The 14,482-nt window shown below is 48.5% G+C and overlaps 1 protein-coding gene and 1 non-coding gene across 6 annotated transcripts in view, besides 2 other annotated features; both read left to right on the top strand.

Moving 5' to 3' along the window:
* CMIP (c-Maf inducing protein) overlaps nucleotides 1-14,482 on the top strand; it is a 266,955-nt gene that overhangs the window by 85,632 nt on the left and 166,841 nt on the right. The gene's annotated exons all lie outside the window — the stretch shown is intronic.
* Nucleotides 1,841-2,342: an enhancer, noted in NCBI's record as "H3K4me1 hESC enhancer chr16:81565885-81566386 (GRCh37/hg19 assembly coordinates)". NCBI's record gives its function as "activates a minimal SCP1, AML or CMV promoter by ChIP-STARR-seq in primed H9 embryonic stem cells {active_cell/tissue: H9 hESC(primed)}" and the evidence as "EXISTENCE:reporter gene assay evidence [ECO:0000049][PMID:30033119]".
* Nucleotides 2,343-2,842: an enhancer, noted in NCBI's record as "H3K4me1 hESC enhancer chr16:81566387-81566886 (GRCh37/hg19 assembly coordinates)". NCBI's record gives its function as "activates a minimal SCP1, AML or CMV promoter by ChIP-STARR-seq in primed H9 embryonic stem cells {active_cell/tissue: H9 hESC(primed)}" and the evidence as "EXISTENCE:reporter gene assay evidence [ECO:0000049][PMID:30033119]".
* On the top strand, nucleotides 3,463-3,527 carry MIR7854 (microRNA 7854). Its single transcript, NR_107008.1, has one exon. It is a non-coding gene; the product is annotated as a microRNA 7854 (primary transcript).

Consider the following 14,482-nt stretch of genomic DNA (forward strand, 5'->3'; position numbering starts at 1 on the left):
AAAGTCAAACAGATTTCTCTTGGTGGGAGGACGTGTCTTTTGTGGGATCGGTGTAGCCCGTCTGAGTCAGTGACTCACCTGGCACCCCTGGCAGCTGACTTTCCTGGCAGTTCACTCGAGTCTCTTGCCTCTGCTCACAAAAGCCTGCGCCTTTATTCAGCTTTCCTCACCGCTTCCCAAGGCAGAGCAGAGCCTCTCCCGCCCGCCTCCCACATCTCTCCCTTAGCTGGGTGCCCGCGTGGCTGCTACCTCCGAGGCTTCTGTGTCACCGGGTAGTGGAAATGTCACCGAGTGTCAGAGCTTCGAGCCTCCTCCAGATCCATCCAAGGTGGCATCACTAAGTGGCATTTGTGTGCTAGGCACGTACCCTCTTTTACATACATTATCTTCGATCAGTTCAGCTTCTTCTGCATAAAAAAGAAATTTCTCTACCGTCCCAGGGAGAATAATTGGAAAAGCGAGCCCTGAGTACTCAGCCCACCCGCCCTTCTCCTGCTGAACTGTCGAACGTAGCCACCAGCTAGCCTGAGCTTGTTCTGATGTCTTCTGGGATCGTCATTGTTATGGGTTGAACTGTAGCCTTCAAAAGGCACGTTTACGCTGTAGTCTCTGTACCTGTGAGCATGACCTTCTTTGGAAATAGGGACTTTGCAGATGCGACCAAGTTAAGATCATGCTGGAGGTCATGCGGGAGGTCATGCTGGAGGAGAGTGGGCCCAAATCCAGTGACTGTGTCCGTAAAAGATGAGGGAAACTTAGACACAGAGAGACACACAGGGACGAGCACCGTGTGACAGCAGAGACAGATTCAGCTGCTAGCCAAGGAATGCCAAGGATTTTGGCAGCCCCAGAAGCCCCAGAAGCTGAGAGAGGTGTGGAGCAGATCCTGCCTCAGAGCCTCCGGAGGAAATCAACCCTGTTGACATCTTGACTTAGGACTCTCAGCCTCCAGAACTTTAAGAAAGCACATTGCTGATATGCAGGCCACCTGGTTTATGGTCTGTTGTTCAGGAGGCCCTTGGGACATCAATGCCCTCAGTCCAGTCTCGATTCTACGACCCTACCCGTGTTTTGTTTTTCACACCAGGCCGTCTCTACCCGCATGGTTAGTGCTGACCAAGTAGGAAGTTGGGACACTTGAGGCATCTCTGTGACGTGCTCACATGGCTTGAGGAGGCTCGGGCCACACCTCGAGGGGCAAGCCTGGGCCTGCCGCCCGACCTTTGCTTGGAGAACTGGGTTCACTGGGTTTAAGAATCATTCCTTTTCCTTCCAAGTTAACTGCTTTCAAGAGGTCAACCCGTGTGTCATGGCTTTTCCCAGACTGGCTGATTCAAACCATGTCACCACCAGGAAGGGGGAAACAGAAGATGATTGACTAAGAAACATTCATTTCTGTTGCAAATTACTAGTTGGGGCTAGTTGTTGATTATCTCACCTCCATTGCTATTTGTATTTAGAAATGGCTCATAAATTTGCTTACATGGGTTTGGTTTGTCTTCTAAATGAAATGATTGCACTGCACATACTTCTAAAACTGTCCTGCGATTTGATAGCTTCCATTTCATGGCGCTTCTTCTGGATGTCAGGCACTAAGTCGGGCGCTTTATTCTGTAGTTCTCCTAGCAATCTGGTGAGCTCCACTCTACAGATAAGGAAATCGAGGCCAAGGACAGCTAAAGAAGCGAGGTGCGCAAGGTGCCCAGGTCCGAAGTGTTTCCGCTGCTTTCAGACTGCAGTCCCAGGGCTCAGGAGTCCATGCTTTCTGCGTATCTTCACGCTGGCCACGGATCACCTCATCATTAGATGTCGAAGTTGAACAAGTGGTGTTCACATTCGGACGTGTGTTAGGTAGAAGTGTGTGTGCACCTGCGTGTGCGTGTATGTTCCACACGCTGATGCAGGAGGTATACGCACAGATATAATTGTCTTTTAGAAGATTGACTATCACTAATTTTGAAAAATTTCCTGAATGACCTTTCCTGCCAGGCCAATACATTGAGCCCAACAGATAAATCCCTGAACTTATTCGCAGTCTCTAAGTACCTTTAGAATCCCGGGGGTCGCCCTGAGCCTCCCCAGGGACTAGCGCTGTTGCCCTCGCTCAGTCTCGCCACCACAGGAGGCCTCGGCTTGCCCAGCAGCTGAGTCGGGAGAACCTTTCCCAGGTCCCGAGGCAGCGGGAGGCGAAGCCAGGAGACCCACCTGGTGCCAGGGAAGAGCTGTCACCTGGGCCTTTCCTCCAGGAGCCTCCAAGGAAGGTGGAGGTGTGACATCAGAGTGTTGGGATGTGGAGGGGTGTGACTCCCTGGGATGCAGCTCTGTGCCCTGACTCCAGTGTGCCATGCTTGGCTGATCTCTCAATGATTAACTGTGTGACCTTGGACACACCGTGTTGCCTCCTGCGCCTCTCTGCCCAGACAGCATGGCAAGTGAAAGCCTCCCTCCCTTACTGATGGTGTGATCTGGGCTGCCTCCTTGGACACGCCAAGCCTGCTGTGCCTCGAGGCCTTTGCCCTGACTGCTTCCTCTGCCTGGGATGCCTGTTGTCTAAACACCCACACCACACGCTCCCTCGCTTCCCTCCTGTCTCCTGTCAGAAGTCACCTCCTTGGGCTGTCCTTGATCATTCCATCCATCCAAAAAGTTGGCACCCACTCCCACAATTTTTTATTTCTCGTTCCCTGACTTACGTTTTTTTCTCCTGAGCATATGTTATCATCTGACAGACCACGCGTTTCTTACTTATTTTGTTTATTATTCCATCCCACTAGAAAGGCAGGGGTTTGCCTGTTTTTTCCCCATGACTGTATCCCCAGCATTTAGAACAGGGCCTGGCACCTGCTAGATGCTCAGTACATAGTTTTGAGTGAGTGAACGAATGAATGAATCATCAGTCAGTCAAACTTTGCAGCACTCACTTTGTCCATTGGAATAAAGTTTGCCTGTTAAGTACATGGTAGCCACTCAGTACATGGTAGCTAAGGTTATGTGCATGATTTTTTATATTATTGTCATTATGTGCTTTATTGTTTTTATTTTTATTTTTATTTTTTTGAGACGGAGTCTCTTTTTGTCACCCAGGCTGGCATTCAGTGGTGTGATCTTGGCTCACTGCAGCCTCCGTCTCCCGGGTTCAAGCAGTTCTCCTGTCTCAGCCTCCAGAGTAGCTGGGACTATATGCACGTGCCGCCATGCCCAGCTAATTTTTTGTATTTTAGTAGAGACAGGGTTTCACCGTGTTGCCCAGGCTGGTCACAAACTCCTGAGCTCAGGCAGTCCACCTGCCTCTGCCTCCCTAAGTGCTGGGATTACAGGCATGAGCCACCGCGCCTGGCCTATGTGCTTTATTTTTACAATCAGAGGGCTGCACTAGCAGATCTGAGAGCATGACCGGGGTGGAGTCCATGCAGGGCCGCAGGGAACACTAGTCAGAAGGAGGCAGTGAACCTCTCCTGCCCTTTCCTTCCATCTCCATCACCTTGAGCATCTTCTGGGCAGCTGAGGTGACCGCAGATGGGAAGGAAGGGCGCAGAGATGAGCATTTTCTTCTCTCCACCATCTGGTTCCAGGCAGGGCAGGAGAGGGCCCCGTGAGAGCTACTGCTCACGGCTACCACGGCTGCCTGTGGGTCAGAGCATCTCCACGCTGGAGCTGGGCCACACTGGTTCCTGCACCCGGGCAGCCTGTGGCCAGGCTGCGTTTCAAAGCCAGGACTTTCAGGAATGCACCCTTTTGACCACACAGCAAGGCCACACATACCCAATAGCAGTGGACTCTGAGCTCTTTAAAATTGTGAATGTTGCCCAGTGGCCCTCAGTCAGGATTTGTTCCATTAAACCTCATTCACTGCCCTCATTTTATGGGTTTGTTGACTGTTTGCATTTGCTCCGCAAGTTGTTTATATTCTTTGTGTGTTTTATTTTCAATTATGGCATGTGTCTTTAAAAAAAGATTGTAAGGGTTTCTTTTGAAATATAGAAAACTGTTCATCCTTTTTCAAATCATTTATGTAGCAGTTATTACTCTCCAACTTTTTTTGTTTTTCTAGTCTCTTGATTTTGTTTGAGGTATTTATTGATATATAGAAGTTATATATTTTTCTGTGGTCAGAGTTGAGTGTCTTAATTAGTGACTTCTTAATTAGTGTCTTCGTGGCTTAGAGAGTTCTTCCAAATTTTAAGATTGAGCAAACATTCCCCATAAAAAAAAAAACAAAACTATAGAACTGTAAAATTAACCTAGAACTAAGCACCTACACCCAGGATAAATTTTTGGTATAAGGTGTGAGGCAGGGAATAATGCTATTCCTTCCCTCCAAATAGTTAATGGATTGTCTGTTATCATTCACTCAATAGTGTGCCCTTTTCCCATTGCTTTAAAATATTGCTATTATCAGATACTAAATTTTTCAAATATGTGCTAAGTTTCCTTTTAGGCTTTCTGTTAGTTACCACTGATATACTGTCCTTGCTCTGCCACTGTGCTGTTTTATTCCAGCTTCATAGTGTTTTGTTTGTTTGTTTTTTGAGACGGAGTCTTGCTCTGTCTCCCAGGCTGGAGTGCAGAGGCGTGATCTCGGCTCACTCTAAGCTCTGCCTCCCGGGTTCATGCCATTCTCCTGCCTCAGCCTCCTGAGTAGCTGGGACTCCAGGCACCTGCCACCATGCCCAGCTAATTTTTTGTACTTTTAGTAGAGACGGGGTTTCACTGTGTTAGCCAGGATGGTCTCGATCTCCTGACCTAGTGATCTGCCTGCCTCAACCTCCCAAAGTGCTGGCATTACAGGTGTGAGCCACCACGTGGCCCATAATTTTTTTAAAATTGAGCCCTCTCCTTTTAAAGATGAAGGAACTGAGGCACCAGAGAGGTCAAGCAACCTGCCCAAGGTCACACAGCCAAATGCTGTCTGAGAATCTCACATGCATAAAATTCCAGTGTATTTAACCTTCTCGTGGGCTGTGTCTCATGATGCTTCCCTGTGCTTCTTTCCTGTCACTTCTGCTCATGGTATAGCACTGGAATGCTTTTTTTTTTTTTTTTTTTAAACAGCTGTTGTACGTTCTTTCTCTAAGTGGAGCTAGTCAGAAAAAGCTGCATGAAGCTACTAGCAAGAATGAGATCAGACACGTGAATTTTGTAGTACTGTGCCTGGCATAGAAAAAGCCCTTAATCTATTAGTAATAATACAATTATTATTATTTCCATTGATGTTGACTTTTTGTAAGGTACGTCCTCATTTGAAGCATCAGTCAGTTTGGTGATCAGTTGCCCTTGAGTGTTCAGACACTCGTTTACAGATGTTGGACCCTGTTACCCACCTTCCCCTCCCACCATAAATTACCGAGGTCACCCCAGACTCTGAACTGGCTGACAAGCTGTTACAGTGATAGAAAGTTTTGCACTTGAGCATTCCCACAAGCTCCTAGGACTCCAGGTCAGTTTACATGTTCCAGGTTTTTGAGAAAATTGTCCACGCTGACTTCAAGGCGAGAGCATCTTGGATCTCCTCCCAGAGAGAGTCGTGTCACCTGAGGGCCCAGGGAACCTCGGTGACAAGGGACCTCTTGTCTGCTGTGTGCTGTGGGCTGATGTGATCCCTGTTTGCAGTGTAAACTCATAAGCAGGGACCCGAAGCATCCCCCGACCCCTGGCTTTGCAGAGCAGCCATAACCAGCCAGTATGAAGATTAATTTCCCTGTAAAACCTTTGAAATCAGGTAAGTGTTAATTATTAAAATTTCACGAGGAGAGGCTTGTTTGGTGTGAAGGCTTCCAGCTTGCTGAGGGTGACCTGGAACTTGTTGTGAGGATGACCAAAGGTACTTGGGAGTGCTCCTTGCCTTGCTGTGGCAATTGGAAGTCTTCATCTTACCTTGCGCCATGCAGGGAGGGTGTGCCCTGGATGGACCCAGTGTGGCCTGTGTGCTTGCTATTCGGTACCTCTCTCACCTGTCATTAACTCGGGGGCATTATAAATTGATCGTCAGGATAAGAATATTCTCTTATAGTTCATCTTTTTAAAAAAATGGTGATAAGATACACAGAACATAATGCCCTGTCCTAACCATTTTTAAGTGTGCAGATCAATAGTGTTAAGTATATTCACATTGTAGCACAACCCGTCTCCGGAACCTTCTTTCTATAAATGCAGAATTAGGGTTGGCTACCTCAGGTGGACACCTGGTTCATGACCTTTGATGAAGTGGGTAGAACTTATTTAGAGCAGGAGGCCGAGGGACAACAGCACCAGCCTTTGTGGTAGGTGTTAATACCTCTCATTTTTCAGATGAGGAAACTGAGGCACTGCTTGTCTTTTTTTTTTCCAGTAAAATGTTGTTATAGAAACATACGTGCGTCACATACATCCGGAAGCATGCACACGTACAGCTCAGTGAATTTTTGCCAACTCAGCACGCACGTGTAACCAGCGCCCAAATCAAGAGACAACATACTGAGCAGTACCCCACCCCCTGCCCTGCACCTCCCGCCAGCCGTTGCTCTCCCCAGGGGTAACTGCTCTCCTGGCTTGTATCAGTGTCTAATGGTTTTGCCCGCTTGTGAACTCCACATCTGTGCAGTTGTTTGGCATGTATGATTTTGTCTGGCATTTTTCCCATGACATATTAGTGTGACTTTAAGAGTAAGTTGCTGGAAACTTCAGGACCAGTCATGGCAGAACTGGGCTACAGACTCAGAGCAGGGTCCCCCCTGCTCACCGTCCTGGCCGTCACAATGTTCACGTGTGAGCCTGCCTTGGCCTGGAGTGTCGGGGCATCCTGAGAAATAAAGTTGGATAGAAACGCCCCATATAGGCTGGGGGCGGTGGCTCACACCTGTAATGCCGGCACTTTGGGAGGCCGAGGTGGGCGGATCACTTGAGGCCAGGAGTTCAAGACCAGGCTGGCCAACATGGTAAAACCCTGTCTCTACTAAAAATACAAAAATTAGCCAGGCATGGTGGCACGCACCTGTAGTTGCAGCCACTTGGGAGGCTGAGACAGGAGAATTGCTTGAACCTGGGAGGCAGAGGTCGCTCTGAGCCAAGATTGCACCACCGTACTCCAGCTTGGGTGACAGAGAGAGACTCCGTCTCCAAAAAAAAGACAAAAAAAAAAAAAAAAAAAAAAAAAGACCCAAATAGAGGCTGGGCACGGTGGCTCACTCCTGTAACCCCAGCACTTTGAGAAGCTGAGATGGGAGGATCGCTTAAGGCCAGGAGTTCGAGACCAGCCTGGTCCATATAGTGAGACGCCCATCTCTGTTGAAAGAAAAGAAAAGAAAAGAAATGCCCCAAATGGGAGTTTGGTGAAAGTTCAGTGGAGGATTAGCCATGAGGATTTCAGGAGCCTCCCGCTTTGAGCAGGGAAACACCCTGTGGTATGAAGTGGCAGCAAGAGATTGGGGTGGTGGGGGCTGCATGCGTGGGGTGCAGGGCAAGGGTCAGCTGAAGGTGTCGGGGAACTCACAGAGGGTGGAGAGAGCCCTGGGTGCAGAGTCTTGGCCGTCAGGCCGAGGCGGGTGGGAAGAGACCCGGCATTCCGGACAGAACAATAACAATCATCGTTTCCACTCACCAGGGGCTTGCCCTGCAGAAGACATTGTGCCTGGTCCATTACACACACACCACAGTCTCGTTGCATCCCCCTGTAACCCTGTGAGGTAGCTGCTATCATTGTACCCATTCTTAGATGGGGGAACTGAGGCTCAGGCAAGTAAAATGACTTGCTCCAGATTAGGGAAGTGGTAGGGAGTCAAGAGGGGCTAAGGCCTGAGTCCGTCTCATTCTCAGAGCGACACCCATAAGCATGGGCTGCCTGCCCATGGAAACTCATAAAGTAGAGACACTTAAGACATAGGCGGCCCCCGGCGGTGGCTCCTGCCTGCAGTGGCCCAGTTGCATAAACACTGAGAGAAGGCTGCCGAATTTCACTCTAAGGGGTTGTTGGAACAAAGTTGAAATGTGGTCCAAAACAGCTTCATCATCATTAGTGAATGTGCTGTGGGTTAGCTTTTTATTTTCTCAGGGGATTTGTTTGGGGCCAGCCTGTGTCTCCATGTTCTTACTTCGCGAGCTGAGTAAGTTGATATCTGCAATTTAAGAAGAGCCTGGTTTTGATAGGAAGTTGATTTGATTACCATTTTATAAGATTTTCTTGGTCTGGTCTTGATCCTGTGGATCTCTTGGTTTCAGTAATTTTGGGGTGGTGATCTATCCTCTGCCATTTAAGCCAAGTCACACTGATGTTGAGTCCACCCTGAAGAATGTGTCAGGATATTCTCATTCCAAGGAAATAGAAAAAGGCATTAAGTTCAAAATAGCACGTGATATTCCAAACCAAGACTTTGTTATGATCTTCTCGGGCAATAATATGATTATCAGGTTTTTTTTTCACAGGCAAGTTGATTCTAAGGTCATTAATTTTATCTGTATCCAGTGGAAATTGTGTTCATTTTAAATTAAAATAAAATGAACGGTGTCCATCTGTTTGTGGAAACCTGATCTACTAAGGTTGATATAATCAGGCTATTTACAAGTTCACTGTGGGTCAGACAACAGTATTTATATTCATGCACACAGAAAATTCGATTAGATAGTGCCGAGGAAGAGCACACACCGATGGGCCGATTACCCTGAATTCAGGCAGCTCAGATTCTCCATTCGCTTGAATGTCATATTAGCTGGGGATATCCCTTTTGTGACGCAGAATCTTGCAGCGAAACAGTTGGGTGTAGCCTCCTGTGAGAAAGAAATGCTTGCAGCAGGGATTTTCCAGGCCGGCATCTCAATTGCACAGAAAAACATTTTGGGAATGTTTCCATCAGCCCGGCAGTCTGAAGGTTTGAGCGGAATGGTGAGAAGGTTCTAACCAGGCGTCCTTGGGGGTGGAGGATGATGGGCCAGGGCAGCTGCACAATGTCTGGCTGTTCAGGGGGTCTTGAAACCAATGTCTGCAGGCCCTGCGGGGATGGATGCACACAAGGGCCGTTTGAAGCACAGATCTGCTCAATCATTGTTTTCTGCTGGGAGTGAGAGAAGGGCACTCCACATCTCTGCTCAAGAATCCTTCATGCTTCGCTGTTGCTTTTAGGAAACACTCCTTGTTCTGATCAGGACTACAGGGCTAGGTATGTTTCTGTCTGGCCCTGCCTCTCCCACTCTTACTGCACCTCGGAGCTCCTTAACTGCTCCTACCCTGCGTCCTGTTTCCTTTTCTCAGCTGGAGCCTCCTCCCTACCACCTGAGGCCCGCAGTTCCTGCTAAGAGCAAGACTAAGCTTCCCTCCTGCCTTCACTCACTCATTCCTAATTCCCTCCGCCTCATCTTCAGTGCCACCTCCACTGGACCTTCCATGACCATTCCCCCACCACAGGACAGTCATTCTCTTTATGAATGCACAGTTCATAGCATGTGATTCATAGCACAATTTACATGAAATAATAACCAACTGTCCATTGGTTGCTTTATGTCTCTCTACGTGCTCCGTGTGTACAACTCTGCCCCCAGCCCTGAGCACTGGGCCTGGATGTAGCAGGGACCACCATGTTATTGGTGAATGAGTGACAGAAACAAACGATGGCAGTGAACGAAGCCGAAAGTAGTTCTCTAATTTGCACAGTAATCTCAGCCACCTTGAAAGGTCGTTTTTAGTGTCACTTCATTGTGAATTTGTCAGACGTGGAGCACATCCATCCAAACGGAAAGACGAAGCAAGGGCCGAAAGTACTTGCTCACCAGGGCAGCTTAGTGACCAGCATCGCTGGCCTTTTTGTGTCTCGTCAGAGCACACTGATTTGATGAGTCCCCGGCTTTCCTTAGTCTTGCCTGTTGGAGAGCTCCATCCTGTGCCGCCTCTGATCCGTGAGATGGGCTTGCTCACCCTGGCTGAGTCTCACTTTGTTGCCCAGGCTGGAGTACACGGGCACAATCACGGCTCACTGCAGCCTTGACCTCCCAGGCTCAAGTGATTCTCCTGCCTCAGCCTCCCGAGTAGCTGAGACTACAGGCACAAACCACCTCGCCCAGCTAATTTTTGTATTTTTTGTAGAGATGGGTTTTTGCCATTGCCCAGGCAGGGCTTGAACTCCTGGGCTCAAGTGATCCTCTCCTGCCTCGGCCTCCCAAAGTGTTGGGATTACAGGCGTGAGCCACTGCACCTGGCCTGGCCTCTTCTTTGAAGCCAGTTAAATGTGTCTTGTTTTGAGTGTGTGTGTGTGTGTGTGTGTGTGTGTGTGTGTGTGTGTGTTTGTTTTTGTTATGAGACAGAGTCTCGGTCTGTTGCCCAAGCTGGAGTGCAGTGGCGCGATCTCGGCTTACTGCAGCCTCCGCCTCCCAGGTTCAAGCGATGCTCCTGCCTCAGCCTCCCGAGTAGCTGGGACTTCAGGCTTGTGCCACCACGCCTGGCTAATTTTTTGTATTTTTAGTAGAGACAGGGTTTCACCGTGTTAGCCAGGATGGTCTTGATCTCCTGACCTCATGATCCACCCACGTCTGCTTCCCAAAGTGCTGGGATTACAGGTGTGAGCCACTGCACCCGGCCTTTTTTTTTTTTTTAAGTTGCATACTTATCAGTCCGTGGGCTTATTTGTTTTGGGTGCTGAACCCCTCTGTTAAGTCTTGATGACTAAATAAACACAATTCAATTATGTACTATATATATAAGTATATTATTCTTGTGAAAAGCAGTGCCTTAACAGAAAAGTCTGAAGTTCCCCTTCCTCCACCCCCGACCCTGTTCCTACCCCATATCCCATCCTTCTAGGGTTTTTTCCTTTATATTTACATTCAAACAGATGGTTCTATAGAAAGTATATGGTATAATTTTATGTGAGTTTCTTTATTTAAACATAAAAGGAATCCTGTCATATAGATCTTTCTGCAGTTTACTTCTTCACTCAGTGAGTCTTTTTGGAGATGTGTTTTGGAGATGTGCACGGTGGAGCCGTGTAACCTGTAACTTTCAGTGGCAGAGGGCTGTGATTTCATAGGCCCAGCCAGTCTAACCACTCCAGCCCCTGATCGGTGCCCCAGGCTGGTAGGATGCTCTTGGGACCCTCACACGCTTCTTCCATGAGTTGAGCTGTTTGTTTACCAAACCTGGTTACGCTGGTGAGAGGTGTTACTGGATTTACACAGTTTATTTGAAGATTACATAAACTTATGAAATATGAGCGTGAAGAGAGAACGGCTGTCTTTATGAAAGCTGAATGGAATGCTTAAGAAAGTCTCAGTGGAGTGGAGTGTCCCTACAAAACAACCGATGTTGTGGGTGAGAGAACTGTAAAAGAACAGGAAAAAGCTGTAATGATCAGACAGCCTTGAGGGGGTCTTCAGAGAAACAGAAGCTGCAGCTTGTCAATCAGGCATCAGGCATGCGTTTATGTGAAAACGACCCAGAGGCCGTCTGCAAAGGGAAAGCCTCATCTCTACTACAAAAGATGGAGAACATATACACCTTTACATACTTTTAGCAAAAACGAAATGTCTATTTCATGTTTTAATTTTCTCCTTTAATGGACTCCTTTGGGTTCACCACTCAGTCACTGGTTCTAATAACCAAAGACTGACCTTATTCTGTTCAGCTGCCACATCACATTCCATAAAATGGTCGTGCCCCACCCTGGGTCGATGGATGTGAAGGCCCTTTCTCGCTTTTCACTCTTAAACACAGCCCAGGAACAAGCTGTCTTACCTGGGACTCTCAGTAGATGCTGAGAGGCAGACTTGCTGGGTGTGGCATTCCAAATTTTAAAAGCAGCAGGAGTTGGTTGATTTTGAAGTTGAAGACTCCTAGGCGGGGAGCTCTGTGAAAATGGGAGCCAAGTCTTTTACCTGTGAATGAGAATTAAAATGGGGGCCAACTATTAAATGCTCGGACACCCCACCAGTGCTTAGATCTGTTTGTCACGCAGGCATTTCTTGAGTCCCAGTTGTATGCTCTGTGAGGCACCGAGGGTGGGAGATTTGTAGCATGGCGTAGGTTGGGAGATTGGTAGCATGGCGTGCGTGATCTTGAGAGGCAGGTGAAACTGGCCTGCATCTGGGAATAGGGTCTGCAGGAGTGTGTTTTTCTGGACCTTCATCTGAGGGTCGTATTCTCCATCTGTGTTAGATTGGGCTGCCATAACAAAACACCATAGACTGGGTGGCTTAAACCACAGGCATTTATTGTTTCAGAGTTCCAGGTCAAGGTGCTGGCCTGGCTGGGTTTGGGTGAGGGCCCTCTTCCTGGCTTGCAGACAGCCACCTTCTCACTGTGTCCTCACATGGTAGAGAAAGAGAGCACTCTGGCCTCTCTTCTTATGAGGACATTTATCCTGTCATGGGGGCCCCAACTTCATGACCTCCTCAAACCCTAATCACCTCCCAAAGGCCCCACCTCCACATACCATCACATTGCAGGGTCGGGGGTTCAACAGAGGAATTTCCGGGAGGCACAAACATACAATCCATAGCACCGTCCCTAGCACGGAAGAACAGAGAGAAGGAACGGTTTACATTGCAGCAGTATGTAGCTTGACTTGTGGCTTCACTCTCTGGGGGATTGTGAATTCTGCCCCAGGCCTAGCGAGAGGCCGCTTGGGAGCCAGTCCGTTCCACGGGGTGCTGGTCTGAGCCCTGCCCGCTGGAGCCCATGAGGTGGCAAGGGCCCAGGCCTGGCTGGTGGCACTGTGTGTCACTGCTTTTCTGCTGATGGCTTGCTGTGTGGCCTTGAAGTTGCTTCGCTCCAGGTGAGCGCATCTGAGAGGTGGGCTGGGTCTGACTTTGGGAATCTGAAGACTGTGTGGTTCTGAGATGGCAAAGTGACACCTGTGGGCCAGCTTCCTGGCTGGAAGACACCCTCTCCTCCCTTCCCTAATCATGTCCAGTGCTACACGGCAGCCGGAGAGCGCTCTTTGTTGGTCCCGTGAGAACATTCAGAAACAATCATACCCACCCCTGTAGCTGGCTGCTTATTGCCAAGGCGTTGCGTTGGCTAGTGTCCCCACATTGAAGTTCAGGGCCGCCCAGGGCTCCCTGCTGCGTCCTGGGCCAGCCTGTGACCTCCCTTTTCCAGCAGAGCAGCAGGACTGAGGGCGCTGAAAGGAAGGGGGGTCAGGGTCGTGGGGGTAAGATCTGACCCTTGGAGCCAGACAGCCTGTGTTCAATTCCTGGCTTTTATCTATGACCATGGGCTAGTCACTTCCCCCCGTTCCTCAGTTTCCCCACCTAGAGCTAAGGTGAGGATAAAACAAGCTACTATCTTAGAACAGTGCCTGGCTTCTATATCAGGCCTAACAAAGGATGGGGATTTAATTTTCTGAAACAAAGAGAAATTTTTATTTGGCTCAGGCAGTCTTTCCTTCCAAGGAGATAACTAAGTTTGAGTCATTGTTTAAAAAATCAACTTCCACTAGTCCAGCTATGACCCCTGAAATGCCTTCCATTTCACCTTCTACTTTCTGTCTAAAGAAGAGGGTTTACTGAGCTAATTGCAGGTCTGAATCGTATTATCGGGAAAAGGTTTATCTTACTTGGGAGAACACAGCTATTTTAAGGAGCTTTAGCACATTTTTATTGCATCCACCTGGCATGAGAAATCTCCATTGTGAGCCTCCTTGGGGTACCCATTCCCATTAGAAAACAGTTCATCAGCCCAGAAGAGGGGAAAGGAGAGAGAGAAGGAAGGGCAAACGCTGGACACGCAGGGGTCCCCCCGCCCCAATTATCCATCATTTGTGGGGTTCCACATGCACCTAGTGCACAGTGAGTGTGAACTCACGGAGACAGACTCAAGTCATGTGCACGCATCCCTTTTCAATGTGGGTGCTGGGCAGAGGGGTGGCTTCAGCTCTCAAATGAGACCGAGGCTGGAGGGTCATGCAAGTGAAAAATACTCAATTTTTTAATTGCAAAGTCTCTTTGGTGCTATGTGTGTGGCGTGAACACGTGAGGGCATTATTTTGAAAGAATTACTGATAGGACTCTGTCTCATCCTCAGGGGGTAAGTGTGTGTGTGTGTGTGCGCGCACACAGGAAACCTCTTGTTTTTAAATATTTCCTTCTCCAAACAGCCTGCCGCTGACCTTCCCGGCCTCTGTGTGGCTCTCAGGCCACCTCCTTATTGCTATATCTTGGAGCCTAAGGACTTCTATTTCTGCTCTGGGTCCAGTGCAGGGTGCCAGGACCACCACAGGGGTGCATGTGTGCATGTGTGTGTGCCTGTGTGTGTGTGTGTATGTTTGAATATGTGTGGTGTATGGGTATTTGTATGTGTGTATATGTTTGTGGAATGTTGTGTGTATATGTGCATGTGTGTGTGTGCGTGTATTTGTGTATGTGTGGAGTGTTGCGTGTGTGCACGTGTGTGTGGAGAGGGTGTATGTGTGAGATGTGTGTATGCCATGTGTGTGCGTGCATGGAGGGCTCTGCTTCCGGTTTCTGGGGTTGAGTAACTTTATGAGTGGTACTTAAAACCCTTCTGTTGTCCACAGGACAAAGT

Source organism: Homo sapiens, chromosome 16, assembly GCF_000001405.40.
Source record: "Homo sapiens chromosome 16, GRCh38.p14 Primary Assembly".
Classification (NCBI taxonomy): domain Eukaryota; kingdom Metazoa; phylum Chordata; class Mammalia; order Primates; family Hominidae; genus Homo; species Homo sapiens.